The sequence below is a fragment of the Homo sapiens genome, chromosome 7 (assembly GCF_000001405.40).
Source record: "Homo sapiens chromosome 7, GRCh38.p14 Primary Assembly".
In the NCBI taxonomy this organism is placed as follows: domain Eukaryota; kingdom Metazoa; phylum Chordata; class Mammalia; order Primates; family Hominidae; genus Homo; species Homo sapiens.
In genome coordinates, this window is record NC_000007.14 from 143,028,872 (window position 1) to 143,055,315 (window position 26,444).

General features: G+C 42.6%; 1 protein-coding gene, 1 long non-coding RNA gene and 1 pseudogene across 2 annotated transcripts, besides 1 other annotated feature; 1 reads left to right on the plus strand and 2 right to left on the minus strand.

The window, feature by feature from the left end:
- Positions 1 to 388: 388 nt before the first annotated feature.
- Positions 389 to 12,061, minus strand: LOC105375544 (uncharacterized). The gene is made up of 2 exons (XR_001745395.1): positions 10,521 to 12,061; positions 389 to 3,616 (listed from the first exon to the last, which is right to left on the minus strand). It is a non-coding gene; the product is annotated as an uncharacterized LOC105375544 (long non-coding RNA).
- Positions 18,196 to 18,901, minus strand: OR9P1P (olfactory receptor family 9 subfamily P member 1 pseudogene; annotated as a pseudogene).
- Positions 19,665 to 20,864: an enhancer, noted in NCBI's record as "CDK7 strongly-dependent group 2 enhancer chr7:142745637-142746836 (GRCh37/hg19 assembly coordinates)". NCBI's record gives its function as "activates an origin of replication core promoter dependent on BRD2, BRD4, P300/CBP, MED14 and CDK7 cofactors, with strong dependence on CDK7, by STARR-seq in HCT116 cells {active_cell/tissue: HCT116}" and the evidence as "EXISTENCE:reporter gene assay evidence [ECO:0000049][PMID:35650434]".
- OR6V1 (olfactory receptor family 6 subfamily V member 1) lies at positions 23,470 to 24,411 on the plus strand. Its single transcript, NM_001001667.1, has one exon. It carries the CDS (start codon positions 23,470 to 23,472, stop codon positions 24,409 to 24,411), a length of 942 nt encoding a protein of 313 aa, NP_001001667.1.
- The last annotated feature ends 2,033 nt before the right edge of the window (positions 24,412 to 26,444 follow it).

Sequence of the window (26,444 nt, forward strand, 5' to 3'; positions counted from 1 at the left end):
TCCCTTGCTTAGGTAACCCCTTCCCTGTCTACGTCACTGTTTTACTAATGGTTTAAAAAGCTTCAGGGACAGAATTGATGGGAAAGCTCAGTGTTCTGGTTTTCCACAACCTCTGCATAACCAGCACGAGATGAAGAAACATGAGCGAGAAGGACACCGACTGTCAGGGAGCCGTGACTGTGTTAGCATTGGGTCCAAGAGGAGCCGGAAGTGCTCTCTGCTATGCAGGAAGGGTCTGGAGATGAGCCTATACACTCTACTGCTCCCCTAGCCCACACTTCAATATCTGGGTGACTTTGTTCTAGAAGATAGGCAGGCCCAGGATGTCCCATCCTAAAATGCTTTTACCCTCTTCTTCATAGAGGAGACCCCTTGGAAAGACACTCACCTTTACAGAGGGGCTTCGCCGCCTCTTCTGATGTTCTCTAGGGCTCCGCTGAGGCTACCTCCTGTCCTGCTAGTGCTGAGCCATGCACAGGGGCCAGAACAAGTTGCTGCAATCCCCACTCATGGCGAAGAAGGGAAATGTCCTCCCAGAGGAGCTTAGGAAAAAGCCCAGAAATGAGTGTTGGGCAAAGTTGAGGGTCCTCTCTCTCTCCCCTCTCCTCCCTCTTCCCTTCTTCCCAAGGGTACTTAATCACCGAGTTACTACTTCTTAATTAGCCCACGTTCAGGGAGTCCCCAGGCAATCAGTCTAGTGGGAGCAGAACAAACTTTAAGTTATTCCCATTTTTTGACCAATTAAGTTTTAGAACTTTTGAAAGTTTTTGTTTGACGGGAAAACCTGAAATCTTACCAATCAGGGACTTCTTAATACTGGGGCTGCCTTCCTGAAAACCTCAGGTCTAGGTTTCCAGATGTCTCAGATTCTAAACAGTCAACTACCTCTGTCGTTTATCTTAGGCTTTTCTCAAGTTTCTCTAGTTATTCGGAGCCTAAATCAACCCTTTTCCCCCAGTAGGAGACACCACAATTGGCCTCTAAAACATGCACCAATATCCCAAAAAAGTCTGCATATTGGTCTTGGTCAAAGCCTTAACTTCACCAAATATCTTCTAAAAAGCCTGATGACTCCTTCATTCATTTTAAAAAGGCTCCTGCGTTTAGTCCTGTGGACCCTACAGAATACTGTAAGAGGTCCCTCCCCTAAATCGAACTCTATTCTGTTCTATTGTCTCAGGTTTTCACTCCTCTTGATATATGTGCATCTGTATGCATTCCAGCAAGATTCTTCCAGACTTTTTTTTTTCCTATGGCATGTCCCTGATTACCAGCTGGACCACTGCAAAGTAGAGAGAGCATAAGGACAGCTTATGTACACAGTTCTGTTTGCAACCTGGAGGAACTGACAAAATGTAAGTTGGAAATCTGTCTAATGCTGGAGTAAGACAGAAAAAGTAGGAATTACAAAACATTTGTCTGCATTTTTGTTTTCATTTTAAGTATTTTAAGTACACCTGTTAAATCTGAGAATTTCAATTGGTGCCTAAGGGTATAAATTGGGATTAATCTTTCTTCCAATTCCTTAAATTGCCCAAGCCCAAATACTTGCCATATAATTTTAGAGAAATTTTCCAAGCATGTATCTCCATATTCTTTTTCGTAAAGGCTGTGAAAATCTGTTTGCAACCTTTTCTTTCTCATTTAACAACATATAAAATATATCTTTCCATGTCAGCACATATTACTCTACCTCTTTTTTTTTTAACATAGGATTCCATTATGTGGATGTCCTATTCTTTATTAGATAGACATTTATTAATTAATTTTCATTGTTGTTTCCATTTTTAATTATGAAAAAATGATGCTATAAATATTCTTAGATATTTGTAAGTACATAAACATGTACTTGTAAGTAAAGTAAGTACGTATACATGTAAGTACATAAACAATTATATTTCTGAAAAAGAAAAAAAAGATTCCCTAGAGTTGGAATGTCTGGGTCAAATGCAGATGTATTGAAGCTATTACTTTTTATTGGCACCAAATTACACTCCAAACATTTTGTATTGATTCACACAATTACTAAGACTGTGTAATAGAAGGGGTCTTGTTTTCCTGACCTGTTATAAGCCAAAGGCATAATTAAAATTTTAATTTTAAGTTGAAGAGAATAAAAACAAGACACCTTAAAAGGGAAATCAATTAACAAGCCTGATGAAATGGAAAATTTTTGAAAGATAAAAATGACCAAAACCAACTCAAAAACAAATATGGATATAGAATCAACTTGAGTATCCATCAATGGATGAGTGAACACAGAAAATGTGGTGTATATATACAATGGAATAGAATTCAGCCATTAAAAGGAATGAAATCTTGTCATTTGTGGCAAAATGGAGAAAACTGGAGGGCATTCCATTAAGTGAAATAAGCCAGGCACATAAAGACAAATACCACATGTTCTCACTCATATGTGGAAACTAAAACAGTTGATCTCATAGAAGTACAGAATAAAATAATGGTTAACAGAAGCTAGAAAGGATATAGGGGAGGGGAAGACAGGAAGAGTTTGGTTAGTGGTTACAAAATTTCAGTTAAATAGAAGAAATAAGTTCCAGTGTTCTGTGGCATAGTAGGGTGACAAGTTTAATGACTATCTATTGTGTATTTCAAAATAGCTAGAAGAGAGGAATTTGAATTTCCCCAACACAAAGAAATGATGAACGTTTGAGGTTATAGATATCCCACTTACCCTGATTTGGTCACTACATGTTGTATACATATATCAAAATATCACATGTACCCCCAACATGTGTACAATTATTATGTACCATTAAAACTTTAAAAGTAAAATAAATGGCCACAGATGTTGTACAAAATTTAATCTTAATAGAGTTGAAAATATTTTGTAAAAAATAAATCCAAACAAGGGGCCAAGATGGCTGAATAAGAAAAGCTCTGGTCTGCAGCTCCCAGTAAGACCAACACAGAAGGCAGGTGGTTTCTGCATTTCCAACTGAGGAACACAGTTCATCTCATTGGGACTGGTTAGGCAGTGGGTGCAGTCCACGGAAGGTGAGCAGAAGCAGGGTGGGGCATTGCCTCAGCTGGGAAGTGCAAGGTGCCAGGGGACCTCCCTCCTTGCAGCCAAGGGAAGCCATGAGGGACTGTGCTACCCAGCTGGATTACTACGCTTTCCCCACAGTTTTTACAATCTGCAGATCAGGTGCCTACGCCACCAGGGCCCTGGGTTTCAAGCACAAAACTGGGTGGCTGTTTGGGCAGACACCAAGCTAGCTGCAGGAGTCTTTTTCGTATCCCAGTGGTGCCTGGAACCCCAGCAATACAGAACCATTCGCTCTCCTGGAAAGGGGACTGAAGCCAGGGAGCCAAGTGGTCTCACTCAGTGTGTCCCACTCTCACAGAGCCCAGCAAGCTAAGAACCGCTGGTTTGAAATTCTCACTGCCAGCACAGCAGCCTGAAGTTGACCTGGGATGATCCAGCTTGGTTGGGGTAGGGGCGTTCACAATTACTGAGGCTTTACTAGGCAGTTTTCCCCCGACAGTGCTAAGGCAGCAGGGAGGTCTGGACTGGATAGAACTCACCACAGTGTGGCAAAGTGGCTGTGGACAGACTGCTTCTCTAGATTCCTCCTTACTGGGCAGGGCATCTCTGAAAGAAAGGTAACAGCCCCAGTCAGGGGCTTGCAGACAAAACTCCCATCTCCCTGGGACAGAGCACCTGGGGGAAGGGGAGGCTGTGGGCACAGCTTCAGCGGATTTAATCTTTCCTGCCAGCTGGCTCTGAAGAGAGCAGCTGATCCTAACAAGAGGAATTCTCCCAGCACAGCACACCAGTTCTGCTAAGGGACAGACTACCTCCTCAAGTAACTCCCTGACCCCGTGCCTCCTGACTGGGAGAGACCTCCCAACAGGGGTCGACAGACAGCTCATACAGGTGAGCTCTGGCTGGCATCAGGCCGGTGCTCCTCTGGGATGAAGCTTCCAGAGGAAGGAGCAGGTAGCAATCTTTGCTGTTCTGCAGCCTCCACTGGTGATACCCAGGTGAACAGGGTCTGGAGTGTACCTCCAGCAAACTGCAGCAGACCTGCAGAAGAGAGGCTTATTAGAAGAAAAACTAACAAACAGCAACAACATCAACATCAACATAAAGGACCCCCACACAGAAACCTCATCCAAAGGTCATCAACCTCAAAGATGAAAGGCAGATAAATCCACAAAGATGAGGAAAAACCAGCACAAAAATGCTGAAAATTCTAAAAACCAGAATGCCTCTTCTCCTCCAAATGATCACAACTCCTCTCCAGCAAGGGCACAAAACTGGACAGAGAATGAAATGGATGAATTGACAGAAATAGACTTCAGAAGGTGGGCAATAACAAACTCCTGTGAGCAAAAGGAGCATGTCCTAATCCAATGCAAGGAAGCTAAGAACCTTGACAAAAGGTTACAGGAACTGCTAACTAGAATAACCAATTTAGAGAACATAAATAACCTGATGGAGCTGAAAAACACAGCACGAGAACTTCTTGAAGCATACACAGGTATCAATAATAGCCAAATCTGTCAAGCAGAAGAAAGTATATCAGAGATTGAAGATCAACTTACTGAAATAAGGTGTGACAAGATTACAGAAAAAAAATGAAAATGAATGAGCAAAGCCCCCAAGAAATATGGTACTATATGAAAAGACCAAACCTATGATTGATTGGTATACCTGAAAGTGACGGGGAGAATGGAACCAAGTTGGAAAACACACTTCAGGATATTATCGAGGAGAACTTCCCCAACCTAGCAAGACAGGCCAACATTCAAATTCAGGAGATACAGAGAATATCACTAAGATACTCCTCAAGAAGAGCAACCCTAAGACACATAATTGTCAAATTCTCCAAGGTTTAAATGTAGGAAAAAATGTTAAGGGCAGCCAAAGAGAAAGGGCAGGTTACCTACAAAAGAAAGCCCATCAGACTAACCGGATCTCTCTGCAGAAACCCTACAAGCCAGAAGAGAGTAGGAGGCCAATATTCAGCATTCTTAAAGAAACAAAATTTCAACCCAGAATTTTATGTCCAGCCAAACTAAGCTTCATAAGTGAAGGAGAAATAAAATCCTTTACAGACAAGCAAATTCTCAGGGATTTTCTCACTACCAGGCCTGCCTTTACAAAAGCCCTTGAAGGAAGCACTAAATATAGAAAGGCAAAACCAGTAACAGCCACTGCAAAAACACACCAAAATATAAAGACCAATGACACTCTGAAGAAACTGCATCAACTAATCTGCAAAATAACCAGCTAGCATCATGATAACAGGATCAAATTCACACATAACAATATTAACCTTAAATGTAAATTGGCTAAATGCCCCAATTAAAAGACACAGACTGGCAAACTGGATAAAGAGTCGAGGCCCATTGGTGTGCTGTATTCAGGAGATCCATCTCACGTGCAAAGACACACATGGGCTCAAAATAAAGGGATGGAGGAATATTTACCAAATAAATGGAAAGCAAAAAAAAGCAGGGGTTGCAAACTTAGTCTCTGATAAAACAGACTTTAAACCAACAAAGATCAAGAAAGACAAAGAAGGGCATTGCATAATGGTAAAGGGATCAATGCAACAAGAAGAGCTAACTATCCTAAATGTATATGCACCCAATACAGGAGCACCCAGATTCATAAAGCAAGTTCTTAAGAGACCTACAAAGAGACTTAGACTCCCACACAATGACAGTGGGAGACTTTAACAGCCCACTGTCAACATCAGACAGATCAATGAGACAGAAAATTAACAAGGATATTCAAGAATTGAACTCAGCTCTGGACCAAGTGGACTTAATAGACATCTACAGAACTCTCCACCCCAAATCAACAGAATATACATTCTTCTCAGTGCCACATAGCACTTATTCTAAAATCAACCACATAATTGGAAGTACAACACTCTTCAGCAAATGCAAAAGGATGGAAATCATAACAAACTGTCTCTCAAACCACAGTGCAATCAAATTATAAGTCAGGATTAAGAATCTCACTCAAAACCGCACAACTACATGGAAACTGAACAACCTGCTCCTGAATGACTACTGGGTAAATAACAAAATTAAGGCAGAAATAAAGAAGTTATTTGAAATCAGTGAGAGCAAAGACACAACATACTAGAATCTCTGGGACACAGACAAAGCAGCGTTAAGAGGGAAATTTATAGCACTAAGTGCCCTCTCTCATTACTCCTATTGGATGTTCTGGCTAGGGCAATCAGGCAAGAGAAAGAAATAGAGGGCATTCAAATAGGAAGAGAGGAAGTAAAATTGTCTCTGTTTGCAGATAAGATGATTGTATATTTGGAAAACCCCACTGTCTCAGCCCAAAAACTCCTTAAGCTGATAAGCAACTTCAGCAAAGTCTCAGGATACAAAATCAATGTGCAAAAATCACAAGCATTCCTATACACCACCAGTAGTCAAGCAGAGGGCCAAATCATGAGTGAACTCCCATTCACAATTGCTACAAAGAGAATAAATACCTAGGAATACAACTTACAAGGGATGTGAAGGACCTCTTCAAGTAGAACTACAAACCACTGCTCAAGGAAGTAAGAGAGGACACAAACAAATGGAAAAAAATTTCATACTCATGGATAGGAAGAATCAATATTGTGAAAATGGCCATACTGCCCAAAGTAATTTATAGAATTCAATGCCATTACCATCAAGCTACCACTGACTTTTTTTGCAGAATTTGAAAAAAACTACTTTAAATTTCGTATGGAAACAAAAAAGAGCCCATAGAGCCAAGATAATCCTAAGCAAAAAGAACAAAGCTGGAGGCATCACGCTACCTTACTTCAAATTATACCACAAGTCTACAGTAACCAAAACAGCATGGTACTGATATCAAAACATATTTCTGAAATACACCACGCATCTATAGCTATCTGATCTTTGACAAACCTGACAAAAACAAGCAATAGGGAAAGGATTCCCTATTTAATAAACGATTTTGGGAAAACTGGCTAGCCATATGCAGAAAACAGAAACTGGACCCCCTCCTTACACCTTATACAAAAATTAACTCAAGATGGATTAAACACTTAAATGTAAAACCCCAAGCCATAAAAACCCTAGAAGAAAACCAAGGCAATACCATTCAGGACATAGGCATGGGCAAAGCCTTTATGACTAAAATACCAAAAGCAATGACAACAAAAGCCAAAATTGACGAATGGGATCTAATCAAACTAAACAGCTTCTGCACATCAAAAGAAACTATCATCAGAGTGAACAGGCAACCTACAGAATGGGAGAAAATTTTTGCAATCTATCCATCTGTCAAAGGTCTAATATCCAGAATCTACTAGGAACTTAAACAAATTTACAAGAAAAAAACAACCACATCAAAAAGTGGGCAAAGAATATGAACAGACATTTCTCAAAAGGAGACATTTATGCGGCCAACAAACGTGGAAAAAAAGCTCATCATCACTGGTCATTAGAGAAATGCAAATCAAAACCACAATGAGATACCATCTCATACCAGTTAGGATGGCAATTATTAAAAAGTCAGGAAACAACAGATGCTGGAGAGGATGTGGAGAAATAGGAACGCTTTTACACTGTTGATGGGAATGTAAATTAGTTCAACTATTGTGGAAGACAGTGTGGTGATTCCTCAAGGACCTAGAACCAGAATTACGATTTGACCCAGCAATCCCATTACTGGGTATATACCCAAAGGATTATAAATCATTCTACTATAAAGACACATGAACTTGTATGTTTATTGCAGCACTATTTACAATAACAAAGACTTGGAACCAGCCCAAATGCCCATCAATGATAGACTGGATAAAGAAAATGTGGCACATATACACCATGGAATACTATGCAGCCATAAAAAAGAATGAGTCCATGTCATTTGCAGGGACATGGATGAAGCTGGAAACTCTCATTCTCAGCAAACTAACAGAGGAACAGAAAACCAAACACTGCATGTTCTCACTCATAAGTGGGAGTTGAACAATGAGAATACATGGACACAGGGAGGGGAACATCACACACGGGGGCCTGTTGGGGGTTGAGGGGCAAGAGGAGGGAGAGAATTAGGACAAATACCTAATGCATGTGGGGCCTAAAACCTAGATGATAGGTTGATAGGTGCAGTAAACCACCGTGGCACATGTATACCCATGTAACAAACCTGCACGTTCTGCACATGTATCCCAGAAATTAAAGTAAAATTAAAAAATAAAATAAAATAAAAAGAAATCCAAAATATATAACAGAGGATGGGGCTTGTTATTGGGGGCCTGATGAGGACACAAATGAGGTAAAGGCAGGTGAAGGATAAAGATAGCATTGGAGTGAGTCAGAAAGCAATTAGAATAAGTAGGCAAAGTGAGTTAAATAGATTATGGCTTTTGGGTGGAGGTAGAGATGAGGATGGGAGAGCAAATGAGGAATCATGAAGAGAAAATGGCTTATCTAGCCCTAATAGATGTCTGAGTGTGGCAAGGAGCTTTCAGACCCTTCCCCAAACAGATGTCTCTTTGGCTAAGTTCTATCAAAACATTTCTAAGCAACGTTCTGCAAACACCTCTTAGGGGAATAGAACATTTTCTTTGTAAAAACGAAGACAGATATTTTCTGTCAGTAGAGCCCATAACATTGAGAGCACAATTTAAAAGTGTACATCTTTGGTGAAAGTGGAAAAATTTCAAAATAGCGTAAGATCATGAATAAAACATTGAAATTGGAATCAGGAAACCTGAGTGCTGATTCCTTCTCATACTTATTAGCTCTGTGATACTTGGTGTGAATTTTCAGCCCTCTAGGTTTGAAATATCAGACCCCTCATCTGAAATATCAGGGCATTGATGGGCATGATGTGTAATTTTTCTTCCACTTTTACCTTGTGAAAGTCAAGGGGCCGAAATGGAGCTAGTTTTTTTTTTGTTTTTTTTTTTGAGACGGAGTCTCGCTCTTTCGCCCAGGCCGGACTGCAGTGGCATTGTCTTGGCTCACTGCAAGCTCCACCTCCCGGGTTCATGCCATTCTCCTGCCTCAGCCTCCTGAGTAGCTGGGATTGCAGGTGCCCACCACCGCGCCCGGCTAATTTTTTGTATTTTTAGTAGAGACGGGGTTTCACCGTGTTAGCCAAGATGGTCTCGATCTCCTGACCTTGTGATCCGCCCGCCTCGGCCTCCCAAAGTGCTGGGATTATAGGCGTGAGCCACCGCGCCCAGCCATGGAGCTAGTTTTCAAGCTTTCTTCTTAATGGTGACCTGAGCCTCTCAGTCCAACATGAGGACTCTCCACTCATGACTCTTTGGATGGAACTCCTCCACAAAGCTAACATTTTTGTCTGAATCAGTTCTCTCTAGATAACATCATGGGCCATTACAGTCCACACCAGATCTAGTACATAAACTTATCCTAGATTAATGATTTTACAAGTGAGTAGAAGTGTTTGCTGAATATCCTTAAGCTCAAGGCCATTCCATGTCTATGTTTGACTTTCCCACATAAGTATACTCGGACACAGGTAAGAGAAGTCATCATGGCCCAGAGAAAGAAAAGGACATTCTGGCAAACTAGTAGAACAGATAGGGTTATTACCTATCCACTATATAGGGTTGCATTAATAATGTATGTTATTAGAGATAGGATTATTACCCCAGTGGCAGAGACATTACCCACAAAACAGGAAATGAGAAGGAACAAACCTTACTGACCTGCCACAAAACTTCCTAACTGACCTTCACATCTACCCTCGCTTCCCTCTGTCTACTCTGTTCTCCCCATAGCAGCCTGCGTGATCCTTTAAAACACAGACTAGATCAGGTCTCTCCCCGGATTAAAACCTTTCTCTCTGCCATTTGGTTAAAGTCCTGAGACCTGTGAGGCTCTGCATGATTTCTAGAAATACCTTTCTCTAATGTCATCTTGTGTCACTCCTCTGCTCAGTGACACTGACATCCTTTGTGCTCCTGTAATGGCACGCTGCTCCATCTCTCAGAGTGCTCATTGTGATTCCCACCATGCTGTGCCTAGTTAGCACCAGATACCAGTTAATGATTACTCCTATAGATGCTTCCCATAACCTCACAGACATATCCATGTTCAGGTTCCCTGCCAGGGGCTTTCCAGATATTACAGTAAATGCTGCAGTGCGCTGCCCGGACTCCCATTCAGAACCAAGATGCTAATTACCCCCAAATTGCTCCCAATCAAAGAGAAACACCTTCCCCAAGATTATAGCCCTTCCTCTAAGGTAGCCTGCATCCAATGGCCTATGGATGCAGAAGTATAATGCCCAGGCCCCAAGTTTCTGTTCAGGACAACTCTGGGCACAATTCAGGACAACTCTGGAAAGCCGTCCTAGCTCAGAGCTCCCCGTAGGATTTAAGCCTCTGTTGTGACCTCATCACAGGTCTGTCCAAACATCTTCTCCCTCATCACTCCCAGATCTAAGACAACCACGTAGTTTCTTGCTCAAAACAACTCACTATTTTGTAAGTGTGTGTGTGTGTGTGTGTGTGTGTGTGTGTGTTTACCTGGTTTTATAGCGTATGGTAACATCGGTCTTCATCAAATATGCTCCATAGTGGGGAGACCATGTCCACTCTGTTTACTGCTGTATCTTCAGTACATTGTCTAAAAAATAACAGTTATTCAAAAACAATTCTTATTAAAGTTTGTTTTTTTAATTTACAGTGAGATTGAGTTCTTTTCATGTTTAAAAAATCATTTGCAGTTTTCTTTAATGAATGTACAGGTTTGTAAGAGAACATTTTGCATAAATCAAACAAATCTTTATTTCATGTTTCTGTTTTTATGTTTTGTTTCTATCTTGCATAAATATTTCATCCTTAGGCAGTTACACTTAACAGTCTTTTAGACTCCCGGGATCCGTGTTTTCCTTTGAAAAGCCTATGTTCATACTCCAAGGAAATTAAAAACAAACCAAAAAATCCCATTTTTTACTTTTTACATTTAAGTCTGTTTGAGCCATCGGGAATTTATTATTTTTTGGAAGCATAAGGTATAGATCCAGGGTTTTGGTTTTTCCAGATATTCTGTGAATGTAATACATATTTCTAGGACAAAGGGAAGGTGGTGACAAGGAAGGGAGAAGAGAGAGAGAGCCCCCAAAAAACAAACTTAGAGGCCTGCCATGGCAAAAAAAAAATACCTCCTCCTCTATCTGGGTTGGGACACAGAGGGCATCCATATTTGGATGTGGAGAAACAAGAGATTAGAATGACTATGATATTAATAAGGGCCAAAGAATATCAGCAATGGAAAGATAATGTTTTCCAACACTTCGTTTTACATATTGTAAGCCTGAAACTCAGAAATCGAGTGACTTGTTAAGGTCATGCTGCAGTTTACTAGCTGAGTTGACATGAGTGACCGGGAACTCCTAGACCACCCTTCTACAGGAGGCAGTCAGCTGTTGTCAGCAGGGAATGAAGCACCAGTAGGTTGAGTGGAGTGACCTTCAAGAATCCTGGCAACCCTGAGATTCTGAGACTCACAAATGTGCTTTTGAAGATCAGCAGTCTTATAATCAAAGACAGATGCTTTAAGGTGAATAAGTTACATACTGGAACACAGTAAAAGCTCAATAAATACCTCAGCAATGAGTGTGGCATGTCCTTATCAATAATGATAAGTAAATGTGCCTCTGGACATGATGAAGAGGATCCATGAGCGTAAGTGTGCAGTTTATGACAACGTCAGTGTCTGGGATGGTTGCTGGAGTGCCAGGGAGACACAGCCCCTTGGGACTGAGCAGTGGAGAAAGGGGGAAGGGGACCTCACAGCTGGGGATCCTGAAGCTTCAGACTCTCCTCCATCCTGTAACACTGGGATAGTGAGGCCAGACAGCAGGAAAGGGCTGGAGAAGAGCATTGCTAAACAAACTTAGCTTGCTCTTGTCAGCTTACTAACATCTACCATGCTCTTCTATACCCCAAGACGACCTGTACTAGTGTGTTACATAACATGTTTTATTTAATTCTGAAATTAACCTTATGAGGGAGGCATTACTATCCCCATAATATTGGGGATTTTTTATTGAATAAAATTCCAGATTTTTATCTGCGTTACATTTACTTAATGAATGCTTAGTCAACAACTACTATGTAAATGTTACATTTCAAACCCAGGTCGAACTCCAAAGCCCCCCACCACACACACACACACACACACACACACACAACTGAGGTGCTGGACCCAGTCCTCATCTGCCTCTTGTTGCTGTCTGACTGTACCCATTGTTAGTTTAAGCATCAGCGTTGTACAACCCAAAGGACTCCTGGCTTTCCCTTGTTCCCACAAGGAGCACCCTGCTGGAGTCTAAAGTTTCCCATTTGGCCCAGCTCATTTCTTAAAATCAGCAAGACCCAAAGGTTTCAAAACAGAGTGGGTGAACAGCACCATCATCCCTGGGAGCAAAGAACAGCAAGAGAATCATTCTCATTGGATTTCCCTGCCACCTCCATGCTATCTCCAGCCTGACATCAGTCATGGATACTGCTGCCCTGGGCTGTATAGGGAGAAACAGTAAGTCTCTTCATCACAGACTCAATGAAAGTTGCTGACAGATTCTAACTTGTGGAGTCACTTGCAAAGCAGGGCCAGGGTTGCTTGCCCCATTCCCAAGGGGCTTATGTCTCCGTGTCAAAATCTGGGTACCACAGTCAGGAAGCCGCCGAAGTAAATGACCTAATAAGAAAAGCTCGCCATGCTGGACTTATGAATTAAGATGCATTGGCTGGGTCTGGAGAATGAATGAGTTATAAGGATTCGGTTTCGGTTAGTCAAGATGAGTTTAGACTTGGCATTAAGATTAGTGAGAGGGTTGCATGCTTACTGCTTAGGGAGATAGATCCACTTCTGTGATTAGATGTCATTGCTGATGGCCAGGATACAGTTCTAGGAAATACCTGTGGTTCCAGAGAGACAGCTAACATGTGTCTTCTCAGGGCTTCATTTGTGTGCTCTCATTTCTGATTTTATTTACTACTTATGGATCTCTAAAGGTATTCATTCAGTTAACTATAATTAAAGTGTGCAGCCAGCACACTGCTGGACCCATACATAGATGCATCAACACACACACACACACACACACACACACGCACACACACAAACCCATCACCTTCACGTTAAAGAAGTGTGGTTGGCGGTTGGGTTAGAAGGGGAGATGATGAGAATGAAGTTTCCATGCCAATAACAACAGCGGAAACTGCTGTTATTGAACTCTTCCTATGTGGCAGCCATAATCCAATTTGATGCTCACGCTAGCTCTACTATTTTTTATCTTACATCTGGGGAAAATTCCACTCCAAGAGGATTAGTATCAGCCCAAGGTCATACAACTGGCAATTCACAGGGCCAGGATATAAACCTAGACGGTCCAAGGTCTGTGCCGTCAGCCCCCATACAAGAGTGAGTCATGTCAGGGAAGGGTGGTCCACTAGGATAGTCACAGCATTTTAAGAAGCAGAGCTAGAAGTCCAGTGCAATCCACATACCACACACATCTTTCAGGGACTGTCAGAGCAGCAGCATCCAATGGGTCTTGCCTGGATTCCAGAGCTTGAATCTAAATATCTTGATTCCCTTTCTGCCTTCAGCCATTGTAAACATGTAGCAGATGGTCACCCCAAAGGGATCTTATTGTCTCTCTGTTCTGGCTCCCCTTGCTTCCTGAATTGAATGGCTTTGCTGCTGCTGCTGAAAGCTGGAAATATGTGGCTGAGTGAGAGTTCTCAGCAGAGGGGCATCTAGAAAGCCTCACAGGGGTGCTTTAGACTGGCTTCTGTGCTCAGCCTCTGGCCATGCTCAGTCCCGTGTCCTGCCTGCCTTTCCTCCCTCCTTCTGCTCACAATTTCTGCTTTTCTTTGTCACTTCTGCTGCTTCTCTTGGGTTACCTTTTATTCCTTCTAGCTTTCTGTCTGCATTCCTGGGCCTCCTGTGTCTCTCTGTCTCTCACTTTCTCTCCATTACTGCTTTTCTAACACCTCGCCTCTCTGGTTTTGTGTTTCTCGCATCCACACTGGCTCTCTCCTGTGAACCTTGGCCTTTCTTTATCTCTGACCACAAAGGTACATAGGGCTTAACACAGAAACGATGAAAGGAAACTTAAGGGATTAGAATGTAACACTAACAACATCTGCTACAGCAAGGTCACGCTGAAGTCACCAATAACTCAAATCTTTCAACGGCTTTTAACAACTATGTTTGTTTCTCACTCATGCCATGCGCCCATCACTAGCCAGGAAGTAGACTCTGCTCATTATTATACTGTAGGGACTGGAGCAGTAGAAAGCTCCCTTTAAACACATTCTTCCATGATCTCAGATGTGGAGAAAAAGGGAATGTGACTCAAATGCCAACCCTTAAAGCTCTTGCTATGAAGTGACTCTCATTACTTCTACCCATATCTCACTGGCTGAAGAAAATCACTCGACCACTCCTGAATTAATGGAGCAAAAATATGTGATATTCCCACTGGGAGGGTCACCTCCAGGAAGGACAACAAATATGAGTGAACAATTATTTGTCCATTATAAACGTCTGGGTTTCTGTTTGTTTGTTTGTTTTACTTATTCTCTTCCTCATGAATTTTGGGTTTAGCTTATCAAATAATGTAAGTAATTTCAGTTTCACAGTTTCTGTCACTGCTGAGCTACAGAATATCTGAAACAGTCATAGCATTACTATTCTTGGCATGATATAGAGGGAAAGGACAGTGTGTGAAGTGGGTGAAATCAGAGCTTCGGTCTCAGGCCCCAACATGTGATGACTGAGAAACACTGACATTTACTTAAGCTCTGTGAGATTCTACATTGTTATCTAAAAACTGAATATAATAATTCTCCCTCACAGGTTAACTCCAGAATAAATCTGTAGTCATTACATGTGATTTTTTTCTCCTATGTCTCTCATATTCTTCTCATTCAATCAGCAAGATATCTTTTATATAATCAATATAAATCAATAAGCAATGTAATGATATACAAGTTTGGATTATGTTTAGGTTGGTGAGACAAAATGACATAAAAATTAAGAGCAGAGTCTTTGGGATCAGATCTGATTCAAATTCAAACTCTACCATGCAGTAGCTGGTGTTAGTAGCTACTATCAATGTTTTTGTTTGTTTGTTTTGTTTCTTTTCTTTTGAGACAGGGTCTACCTCTGTCACACAGGCTGGAGTGCAGTGGTGCAATCATAGCTCACTGCAGAACTCCCAGGCCCAAGTGATCCTCCCACTTCAGCCTCCTGAATAGCTGGGGCTACAAGCACGCACCACCACACCCATCTAATTTTTGTATTTTTTGTAGAAATGGAGTCTCACTATGTTGCCCAGGCTGGTCTCGAACTCCTGGGCTCAAGCAATCCTCCTGCTTCAGCCTCCCAAAGTGGTGGGATTACAGTCATGAGCCACCATGCAGCCACTATTGTCAATATGATTAAGGATTGAAAGCCATTCCAGCCAGGTGCAGGAGACATCCCTATTTGTCATTTGTCTACCATTGCAGCCCATATCATTCACGATTTATTTGCCTTGCTCCACCCCTTCCTTACTCTGAAAAATTAGAATATTAATAGAAAACAGGTTTTAGGATCAGTTTTTATATCACACAAACATTTACTAATGCTTTGAGCTCAGATATGTAGGAATATTTATGTAAAGAAAAACATAAGTTGTATAACCCTTACCAAATTTTCCAAGAGTCATGGATTCTTTTACCAAGAAAAACCTCACAGATAAAGAAACTTTTTAAAAAGTCTTGCTTTTTTTGTTAAAATAAATTTTTCTCTAATTTTTGAGAGCTAAATGGTTAACTGAAAAATAAGCATTCATTAACAGAATGTGTTACACAAAAATTTATCACACATTTTAAGAGACGTATTACGATATATGCAAAAATCAAGACTGTGCTGTGTGGTTTTTAAGCTTAGTGACAAGTAGATCAAATAAGGTCTATGAATCGTATTTGTGTTTGACATCTAAGCAAACTGTCTGGGATCAGTTGTGGGAGTAAAGCAAGATGTTTTTGAGGCCTCGCGATGTGCATGTGTGATAGACAGAGTAATATTTTGTTGTTTTTATGTTTCAGAGATGCTTGCAGCTTGGGTGATATAAAACTCCCAGTGGGGCAATGTGTCTGCCTTCCTCATAAATGGACAAAAAGGAAGAAATACAGTGTAGTATCAGAACAAGCTTGACTTCAGATACTGCAGCCTCCTGTTCTCTGAGAAGGGGAGTGAAAAGAGAGTGGGGTGAGTTAGTGTCTTTCTTTCCATTCAGGATCAGATATCTGACAGAGTAGTCTAAGCCTTAGAAAAAGAAAATTTTGTTGACTTATCCATGACAGGTTTTTTAAAGGGCCACAAATTTTTTGGCACTCCTCCCATTAAGATATGGCTCTGGCTGGGTGCGGTGGCTCACACCTGTAATCCCAGCACTTTGGGAGGCTGAGGCAGGCGGATCACGAGGTCAGGAGATCGACACCATCCCGGCCAACATGGTAAAACCCTGTTTCTACTAAAAATACAAAAATTACCTGGGTATGTTGGTGCATGCCTGTAATCCCAGATATTCAGGAGGCTGAGGCAGGAGAATCACTTGAACCTGGGAGGCGGAGGTTGCAGTGAGCTGAGATCACACCACTGCATTCCAGCCTGGTGACAGAGTGAGACTCTGTCTCAAAAAAAAAAAAAAAAAAAAGATATGGCTCTATGCCCCTGCCTCTTGAATCTTGTGTTGCTTGGACTCATAAAAGTATGGCAAAAGTGACCATATGTGACATCTGTGACAATCTTATTTGACAAGTAGATCAAATAAAGCCTATGATTTGTATTTGTTTTAGACATCTAAGCAAACTGTCTGGGATCAGTTGGGAGGATAAAGCAAGACATTTTGGCACAAGTACTGTGTATCATCTTTGTGCATAAAATGGGTGCCCCTTTCCATCAGGTAGATGCAGCTCCTTCAGCCCCCATGTGCCCCTTCAGTCTCTCCATCACCACCTTTGTACAGTCTACAAGCCACACAATTTTACTCAGGGGCCCTAATTCAGCTCCTATCTCCATCCACCACCAGGCAAGTGCCCTCTTGCTAGACTCTTCAATTCTCCAGGTGACCCACATCAATTCTCAAGAAAACTATTTTCTGTCTGATTCCAGCCTACAGGTATTATCATGTGAGATAATTTCTTCCTCCAATCTGTCTGAAAATCTAGCAGTTACATATTTCTGTGCATTAATAGGGAGCTACCCCATCCCCTGATTTGTTAGTAAGTCAGAATTGAGGGAGGAAACTCCCACTCTCAACTCTGCCAGCAGTGAAAATCTGCAGAGATGTCATAGAAGACAGCTGGAGATTGGGGCAGAAAAGCCCCCAGTCAGAGGATATCTGGCTTTGGGAGGCAGAGCACATCATGAAAACAAAGGATTCCTGTAGCATATAAAGAAAAAATTCAGGCATCTAGAGTGAGCCATTCAATCCTTCCTTACCTCCTTCCTTTACCATGAACAAAACGAGATGAGTTAAATAGTTGCCAAAAATTTGATCATAAATTTTCTTCTGTCCCTACCACCAAACATGTTCAAACATTCCATCCACCCCTTTCTAAACATATTGTCCTCGTGCCACTCCAAGTTGGCTTTATGCCAAAATGTAGAGAAAAAGAGTTGCTTTGTAGTAGCAATGGGCCAAGATTAGATATGGCACATCCAAGAAAAAGAGTACACCAGGGAGTAATCTGTGTCTCACCTAATGGCCAGGCACAGCTTTATGAGATTGAGTCTAATAATGCAAGTCAAAATGTCAACATATCCCAGGAAACAGTAGGGCAGATCTGAGCAGAGGTGCTGACATTTTTATTGTAGTCCCTGGACTCTCTTCCTCTTCTGGAAATGCACATTCAGAGATGATTACAGTGCAATCTAACGCCCCCAGGAACATATACAGCTCCTTTCTCAAGCTCTTCCCCGACTTCAGGCATTTTCTTCTTCAGATTTTCAAAAACAAAACAATAATTTTATTACAAAACAACTGAAACAAGAAGTAGCTCAGATTATCAGTTACTGATAAGCAGGTTGGTTTTTATGTTTGTGTATTTTGCCCACTTCCAAGGGCCTGAGTGTGATAATTACATATGGTTTGATGATGAAAATAAAGATGCTTTAGCTTAGATATTTGTTAGTATTTTCCAGATTACCTTAGAATCCATGAGGACTGGCCCACCTAAAACTGATTTAGGTCAGTAAATCTGACCTGTAAGAAGGTTCAGAAAGGGGGTCAACAGGAAAATAAACAGGAAAACTACCTTGTTTTATTCTGCTGCCCAAATTTGCTTGGGTTTCACGTAGAGAAACAAGCAGCTGTCATAGTCAATCACCACACAGGTGAAATGGGAGGCATGAGTGGAGAAGGATTATTTTTTGGCCAGAGGCTGAGGGGATACTGGAGTAGGAATCAATCTGGATCAAAGAAGCAATAACAATGGAAATGTCCATTAATAGACTGTGTGAAAAGATGAAGAGTTGACTGAGGAAGAAATCCCCGGGAGACTGAAGACTTCATCAATTCAACCATGTAAATGACTGCATTTCCCATTAATCTCATCAAGTGAAAGAAGAAGTTAACCAAAAGGAAATGGGGCAGTTCCTCAAAGCCTGGGAAGCCCAGGAGACAGAATTGAGTGGCACTAGAGTAGTTCCCCTCGCTGTTTCAATCCTAGCTCTTTCTCTCTGGGAAGGCTAGAAAGGAAACAAGAATTAACATTGCTCCACATGCCTTTAATCCCAAAGGAAATAAGGACAGATTTAGGATTATGCTCCTGGATTATGGAGCCTGCTCTATGTTATGATCATTTAACCGAGTTGACGCTACATATTTATTAAGGAATGAACACAATTGTGTAAAGATGAATGGATCTGGTCAAATAAGTGGTTCACCAGGCACCAAAGCTGCATGGTAGTCATTGCGATAGGCAGAGGAATGCCCCCTCAACGATGTCCAAGCCCTAATCCTTGGAATTTGTGAAATGTTGCTTTACATAGGAAAGGGGACTTTGCAGGTGTGATTGGGTTGAAGACCTTGAGATGAGGGGATTAGCCTGGGCGATCCAGGTGGGCTGAATCTAATCTTAGGGGTGATCCAGATGGGCTGAATCTAATCTTAGGGATTTGTAAAAGTGGAGAAACTTCTCCTCTGAGTTCAGTCAGAGGGCTAAGTGATGACAGAAGACGGTTCTGAGAGACACATGTGACTGGCTTTGAAGATGGACGAGGGAACAATAAGCCAAGGAATGTGGGCAGCTTCTAGAAGGTGGAAAAGCAAGGAGACTCCAGAAAGGAAGGCAGCCCTGATGACGCCTTGATTTTAGCTCATTGAGGCCTGGTCAAGTTACTGACCTGGAGAATTTGTCAGGTAATAAATTTGTGTTGTTTAAGCTACAAAATTTGTGGTAATTGGCTACAGAAGCAATAGAAAATGAATAGTCATGAAGGCCCATGTAGCCCCGACCTATGCTCCTGCCTTTCAATTCCCAAGCCCCTGCCTCCAGCCCTGCTCTGCCCAGGACCTGTCTTCCTACCTGAGCTCCCTGCTAGCAACTGGCTCCTTTCTTCTTCCTCCTCCATTTCTAGCCTTGTGACCTACATTTTTCTTTACTTTCTTTCTTTTTGTTTTTGTTTTTGTTTTGAGACGAAGTCTTGCTTTGCCACCCAGGCCGGAGTGCAGTGGCACGATATTGGCTCACTGCAACCTCTGCCTCATGGGCTCAAGCAATTCTCCTGCCTCAGCCTCCTGGGTAAATGGGATTACAGGCTAATTTTTTGTATTTTTAGTACAGACAGGGTTTCACCATGTTAGCCAGGCTGGTCTGGAACTCCTGACCTCAAGTGATACACCCACCTTGGCCTCTCAGAGTGCTAGGATTATAGGCATGAGCCACCGTTCCCAGCCTCTTCTTTGCTTTCAATGGGTCAGCTCCAAATCTCAGTTCCAAGCTCAAGTCCTACAGAAAGATTGCCTGGTCAACCCCTCCAGCCCTGGTTATTCTTAACCTCAGGGCCCATCTGTACTACCTTCATTGCACAGCTTTTCCTTGAAATCTTTGAGTCATTATTTCTGTCTCAGTGTGGGTGGGGTTGCACTGGGTATCATGCATAAGGTTTAAATGTCTCTGAGATGAAAGACTGTGACTCAGAGTTTACTAGGGAGCTGGAAGCTTGGAGTGGCCTCCCCATATTCCCTTTACCTTTGTCCCCAGGGTGTGTATCTTCTCACAGGAGCCAGATCCCAAGATGTGTCCACCAAGGGCCCTGCCTCTGGAGGCAGATATCTGTTTGATTCCCAGACTTCTCCAAATGATACTTTCTTTGGAGAATTTTAACAAGAGGCTGCTATGGTCCAGGGCCTCCATTCCCTGCCTCCCTAGATCCCTAAACCCTGGATCCACTTGGAGATTTTGTCTGCAAATGGAAACTCTGGATCCAGCCCTGGCTAGGTACCCAGGCTGTCATAATTTTAGTCCAGCTGGGAAAATTCCTTTGTGTTTTTTCCATGATCTCATATTTTTTCCATGGTCCTGGGAGGAGGGGAAGGGCCAGGAGACAGGCACTGCCGAGGTGCTGATCCTAAGCCGTCAGCTGCTTGGGTGTATCTGGGTCTTTATCCATTTCTTTATTCAGATCTTTTTCTCAAATGTTACTTCCTCAAAACAGAGGACATCTCATTATTCTAAGGAGCAACGTCAGTGCCTCAGAAGTCCCCAGAGGGCTCCTTGGCTTCCTGTCATTCCCACAGAAAACACTCTGCTGGAGTCTAAGTTTCCCATCCAGCATAAGCTGAACTGTAAACATCATCAAGACACGAAGGACTTGGAGATGTGGATGAGAGAAAGAGCTGAAAACACTCATCCTTGAGAGAGAATGGACAGAATCAGCACCTTTCCCCTCTGGTCTCCTGAGGGACTTATTTCCCATCTCCCAGCCCCACATCAATGCTGCTGCCCCTGGCTTTGTAGTGACACAGGGTAGGTGCTGAATTAGAAAATCAGCATAAGGACTGGCAGAGTTTTAGCTCACCCAGCAGTGCCACCTCTTCCAAGCTGTGCACAAAGCCCCTTTCCACCCTTTCCAGCCGCAAGACACAACCCAAGGGAAAGAGACTGCATCTCTGATGTCATTCATGTTATAGAGTGAGGCCAGTAGGCAGGTGTCTCCAGGTATGAATGCCTAAGTGAGAGCAGCTTACAAAGAAGACAACAGGCTTGGAGGCTAAGGTGAGGGGGGGAAGTCTGTATGTCAGTCAGGTTCTCATGCAACACAAACATAAGGACTGGGTTTGAATTTAGTCAGTGCTGGGGTAGATTTTAGGATTTTAGACCTACCGTTAAGGCTTGCCAGTGGCATGGGTGCAAGGCTTTATTTATTTATTTATTTATTTATTTATTTATTTATTTATTTTTTATTGTTTTTGAGATGGAGTCTAGCTTTGTCATCCAGGCTGGAGTGTATTGGCATGATCTCAGCTCACTGCAATCCCACATCCCAGGTTCAAGTGATTCTCCTACCTCAGCCTCCCAAGTAGCTGGGATTACAAGTGCCCGCCACCATGCCCAGCTAATTTTTGTATTTTTAGTAGAGACGGGGTTTCACTGTGTTGGCCAGGCTGGTCTTGAACTCCTGACCTCGTGATCCGCCCACCTCAGCCTGCCAAACAGCTGGGATTACAAGCGTGAGCTACCGCGCCTGGCCGGGTGCAAGGCTTTTTAAAATTAGAATGTCATTGCTGTGTGGCCAGGACACAACCCCAAATGAAGCATTTATGGGGCTGGAGAAAGGGCCAGAGTATATCTACACACAGCTTCACTCCTTCCACTCCTGACAGTTTGTGTTGTAAATACTTTGTTTGTGTTTGAAATGTTTTAAAGTACCCTTTTAGTGAACTGAAATTCCAAGAAACAGTGTAAAGCTGTAAAGATCTTCACACACACACATGCTGGCAATGAGAAGAAGTGTAGAGAGATGATGGGCAAAAAAAATTTGAGTTCTATTGACGGTCTAACAATAAGAACAGTGATAACAATAACAACAACGATTTGTTGGCTAGTATGTGCTAGTCACTGCACTAAGTAGTTTACTTATTTAATTTTATAATCACCATAGAGGCTAAGTACCAGTAATACCATTATTTTACAGCTGAATAAACGGGCTCAGAGAGAGTAAGTAACAAAGAAGAGCAGATTTACGGCCCGTGACAAGCAAGTCTAGAGCCAGAATTCAAACACAGGCAAGCCAACTCCATAGCTTACACTTTGCACCACGGCGGGAGGGGAAGTGCAATGGAGACGGCAAAGCAGCACCCTTGGGTAGACAGATTATGCCGTTGGGAAGCCTGATGACTGTGTGTGTCCTGGGAGAGCAGCCACTTGGATTTCCAGGCTCGCTCCCTGACCTGCTGCACCCTTTCTGCTCTCCATCTTTGCAAACACGAAGCAGAGGTCTCCTCTAAAGGAAGTTAATTTCTGGACTCAAAACTCTGACTTTCACTAATTTCATGATCATAGCCGGAGAAATGTGCACAAGCGAGGGTCCTCAGAGAGGCAGCTCAGAAAGGTTTGCAGGGACCCTTTAAAAAGGGTCTTGGGGCACAACCTCTGGGTGTGACATAGACGGATTAGCCTACATTTGGGGGCTTCTGGGTCACATGCACTAATGCTCTCTCTCCCTCTCTTTTTCTGTGTTCCTCCCCTTCCTGTATTTCTCTATTTGAATTTTTTCTGTTCTTTCTCTGGTCCTCTGTTGTTTCCTTCTTGTTTTCTCCCTAAATGTCAATGTCTGTTGCCATGTGGTCTTCCTTAATCTTTTCCTCTGTTTTTCTTTCTTCCCCCCCTTTTTTTTTTTCTTTTTTGAGATGGAGTCTCACTCTGTCACCCAGGCTGGAGTGCAGTGGCACGATTTCGGCTCACTGCAACCTCCACCTCCCAGGTTCAAGCGATTCTCATGCCTCAGTTTTGCAGGTAGCTGAGATTACAGTTGCCTGCACCTGGCTTATTTTTGTATTTTTAGTAGAGACAGGGTTTCACCATGTTGGCCAGGCTGGTCTTGAACTCCTGACCTCAAGTGTTCCCCCTGCCTCGGCCTCCCAAAGTGCTGGGATTACAGGCATGAACCACCATCCCCAGCCTTCTCTCTTCTTAATAATGGCTTTCTATGTCTTTCACTTCTCTCATACCCTCACTCTGTTTCTCCTTGACTCTCCCATTCCTGTTTTGTTATCTTTCTTTATTGCCGTTTCTTTCTGCTTTTCTGTTTATCACTCGCTGGCTACTTGCCTTTCTCTCTCTATTCTCTGTCTCTGTCCCTGTTTCTTCTGTTTCAAGTTCAATGGTTCTCTGTCTCTATCTCTCTGTTTCTGCCTCTCCGTCTGTCTTTTGTTTCTCTTGCATGCAGGGCCCCATACTGTGGATCATGGCAAATCTGAGCCAGCCCTCCGAATTTGTCCTCTTGGGCTTCTCCTCCTTTGGTGAGCTGCAGGCCCTTCTGTATGGCCCCTTCCTCATGCTTTATCTTCTCGCCTTCATGGGAAACACCATCATCATAGTTATGGTCATAGCTGACACCCACCTACATACACCCATGTACTTCTTCCTGGGCAATTTTTCCCTGCTGGAGATCTTGGTAACCATGACTGCAGTGCCCAGGATGCTCTCAGACCTGTTGGTCCCCCACAAAGTCATTACCTTCACTGGCTGCATGGTCCAGTTCTACTTCCACTTTTCCCTGGGGTCCACCTCCTTCCTCATCCTGACAGACATGGCCCTTGATCGCTTTGTGGCCATCTGCCACCCACTGCGCTATGGCACTCTGATGAGCCGGGCTATGTGTGTCCAGCTGGCTGGGGCTGCCTGGGCAGCTCCTTTCCTAGCCATGGTACCCACTGTCCTCTCCCGAGCTCATCTTGATTACTGCCATGGCGACGTCATCAACCACTTCTTCTGTGACAATGAACCTCTCCTGCAGTTGTCATGCTCTGACACTCGCCTGTTGGAATTCTGGGACTTTCTGATGGCCTTGACCTTTGTCCTCAGCTCCTTCCTGGTGACCCTCATCTCCTATGGCTACATAGTGACCACTGTGCTGCGGATCCCCTCTGCCAGCAGCTGCCAGAAGGCTTTCTCCACTTGCGGGTCTCACCTCACACTGGTCTTCATCGGCTACAGTAGTACCATCTTTCTGTATGTCAGGCCTGGCAAAGCTCACTCTGTGCAAGTCAGGAAGGTCGTGGCCTTGGTGACTTCAGTTCTCACCCCCTTTCTCAATCCCTTTATCCTTACCTTCTGCAATCAGACAGTTAAAACAGTGCTACAGGGGCAGATGCAGAGGCTGAAAGGCCTTTGCAAGGCACAATGATGAGCCCAGGGCCCAGGGGAACCTGGCCTGCCTCCATTGAGCAGTTCTGTGGGGAGGGAGACCTCCAGCAAGTGGGAAGAACACTGCTGAGTTTCTTTAGTTTTTTTCCCTCTGAGCAATAACTACAGTGAGCCCTGAGTGCTGCACTGTCTGGCCCAAAGCTCTTATGGACCACCATGGAAGAGTTCCCTACATCCCCTGGCAGCCGTAAGAACTCTGAGAGTAGCCCAGAGCTTTCAGTAAAGGGAAGTGCATGTGCTTTGCATTTAAGGAAGAGCAGCCAAGAAGTGCTCTATGATCAAGAGGTAGTGTCCAATCCCAGTATGTGTGCATGGGTGTGTATGTGTGTACATATGTGTGTATGCGTGTGCATGTTCCGGGTGTGCTTCTCTATCACAGTATGCACTGCTGCTGAGTGTATGCACCATAAGTGCTTGGGCTACATGGGATCAAGAGAAGAAGCAAAACTTACCAAAAACAAACTGATTGTTTTTCAATGTGTGTGTGAGTGTTGGGAGGAGGACTGGGTCCTTGTATAATTATTCATCCATTTATTCATTCATTTCTTCAACATTGAGTAGGCTGTGTGTGTCAGGCACTGTAACAGGTAGAGGGTAGAAAGGTAAAAAAGGCATAAATGGTTCTTAACCTGACAAAGCTCTTGGCCTAAGGAAGGAAAAAGTGATAAATAGCTGTTTCCAGCACAGTGGGGAACGTGCAACAGTGGATTCACAGACGGTATTATGAGCACACAGGGGAGCAACACTGAGACCAGGAGGAGGCTCAGCGACGGCTTCCTGACAAGATGACACCTGAGTAGCACATTGACTATAAGGTGGACACTGTGAGAGTGCAATTCATCAGGTACCTTTGCATCAGAGAAAGATGAAACAGAGAGAAATTAAAACAAGATAAATCTCCGCTAGTGAGGAATTATGTGGTTTCCAGAGAGGAAATATTCAGAGTTTTAGAAAGACAAAATAAACTTTGCTCCTGTATGATTAGAAACATTCATTTGCCTAAAGGCAAGGGATTGTAATAAACCTAGTAAGTTCACTTATTCAGTGATTATATATCCTATTTTACACACATACATATTATATTGTACATTACATAAAATATGAACATTATATTACATTCACATACGTGTGGGTATAAAATTCTTGAAAATCTATTATGTCCCATGCTGCCTTTGGAGTTAAACATCAGCTCCACTGTCCTCCCTCCTCCAACTATAGCCTGAAATTTTTAAAATCTTCCAGTTACTTTGACCTCAGGATCATGGTGTTCCCTTAGCTTTTGCCCATGCAGAATTTTCTAAAGTAGCCCCAATTTAAGTTGTTTTGACACACTGTTTCTGTAAGTACACTTTAATTTACCAAACTCCATATCCCAATTTGTGATATATAAACTACAACCAGGAGTTTATTCGTAGCTACACTTACTTGAAAACAATAAAACTACTAATTTATCACAAATGTCAAGCATTTAAAAAATCCACTATGTGGAAATGAATGAGGTAAGCTCATTTGGAGCTTGAGAGATGCAGCTTGCTTACCAACCCATTGGTTCTCCTTGTGACCTCCTCTTACCCCAAGCTAACTCCTTCCTAAACGAGGCATCCCTTTCTCTGGCTTTCTGAAAGTGTCTTTCTTTCTTGCTGAGATACCCCTTAGCCAAGTCGGAGGGTCTTTTCACATTCCCAGTTTCAGTTTCTGGACCAAAATTTTGCTTGTTCTTTAATTACATAACAGAGCAATGATTCTGTTGTTTGCAGTTGCTATTGAATGAATTGATGTTTTTTTCCTCTGTTTATTCTCTGCTTGCTACCTAGAAAAGTATTTGTAGAGTAAATGAAAGAAGGATGAGTAAATTAAGAATAATTCTACTAACAATATCTTACTTTTGTATACTTTTCATACTTTATGAACCACTTTTACATATATTTTCCATTTGGTTTTACCCTCATAGTAATTCAGTTAAATAAATATTCACTGATCACCCATCATGAGCAAAACACTCCACTCAGCAGT

Excerpts from the sequence above, each read along its gene's own strand:
- OR6V1 (NM_001001667.1), top strand. The coding sequence starts at position 23,470 with ATGGCAAATCTGAGCCAGCCCTCCGAATTTGTCCTCTTGGGCTTCTCC.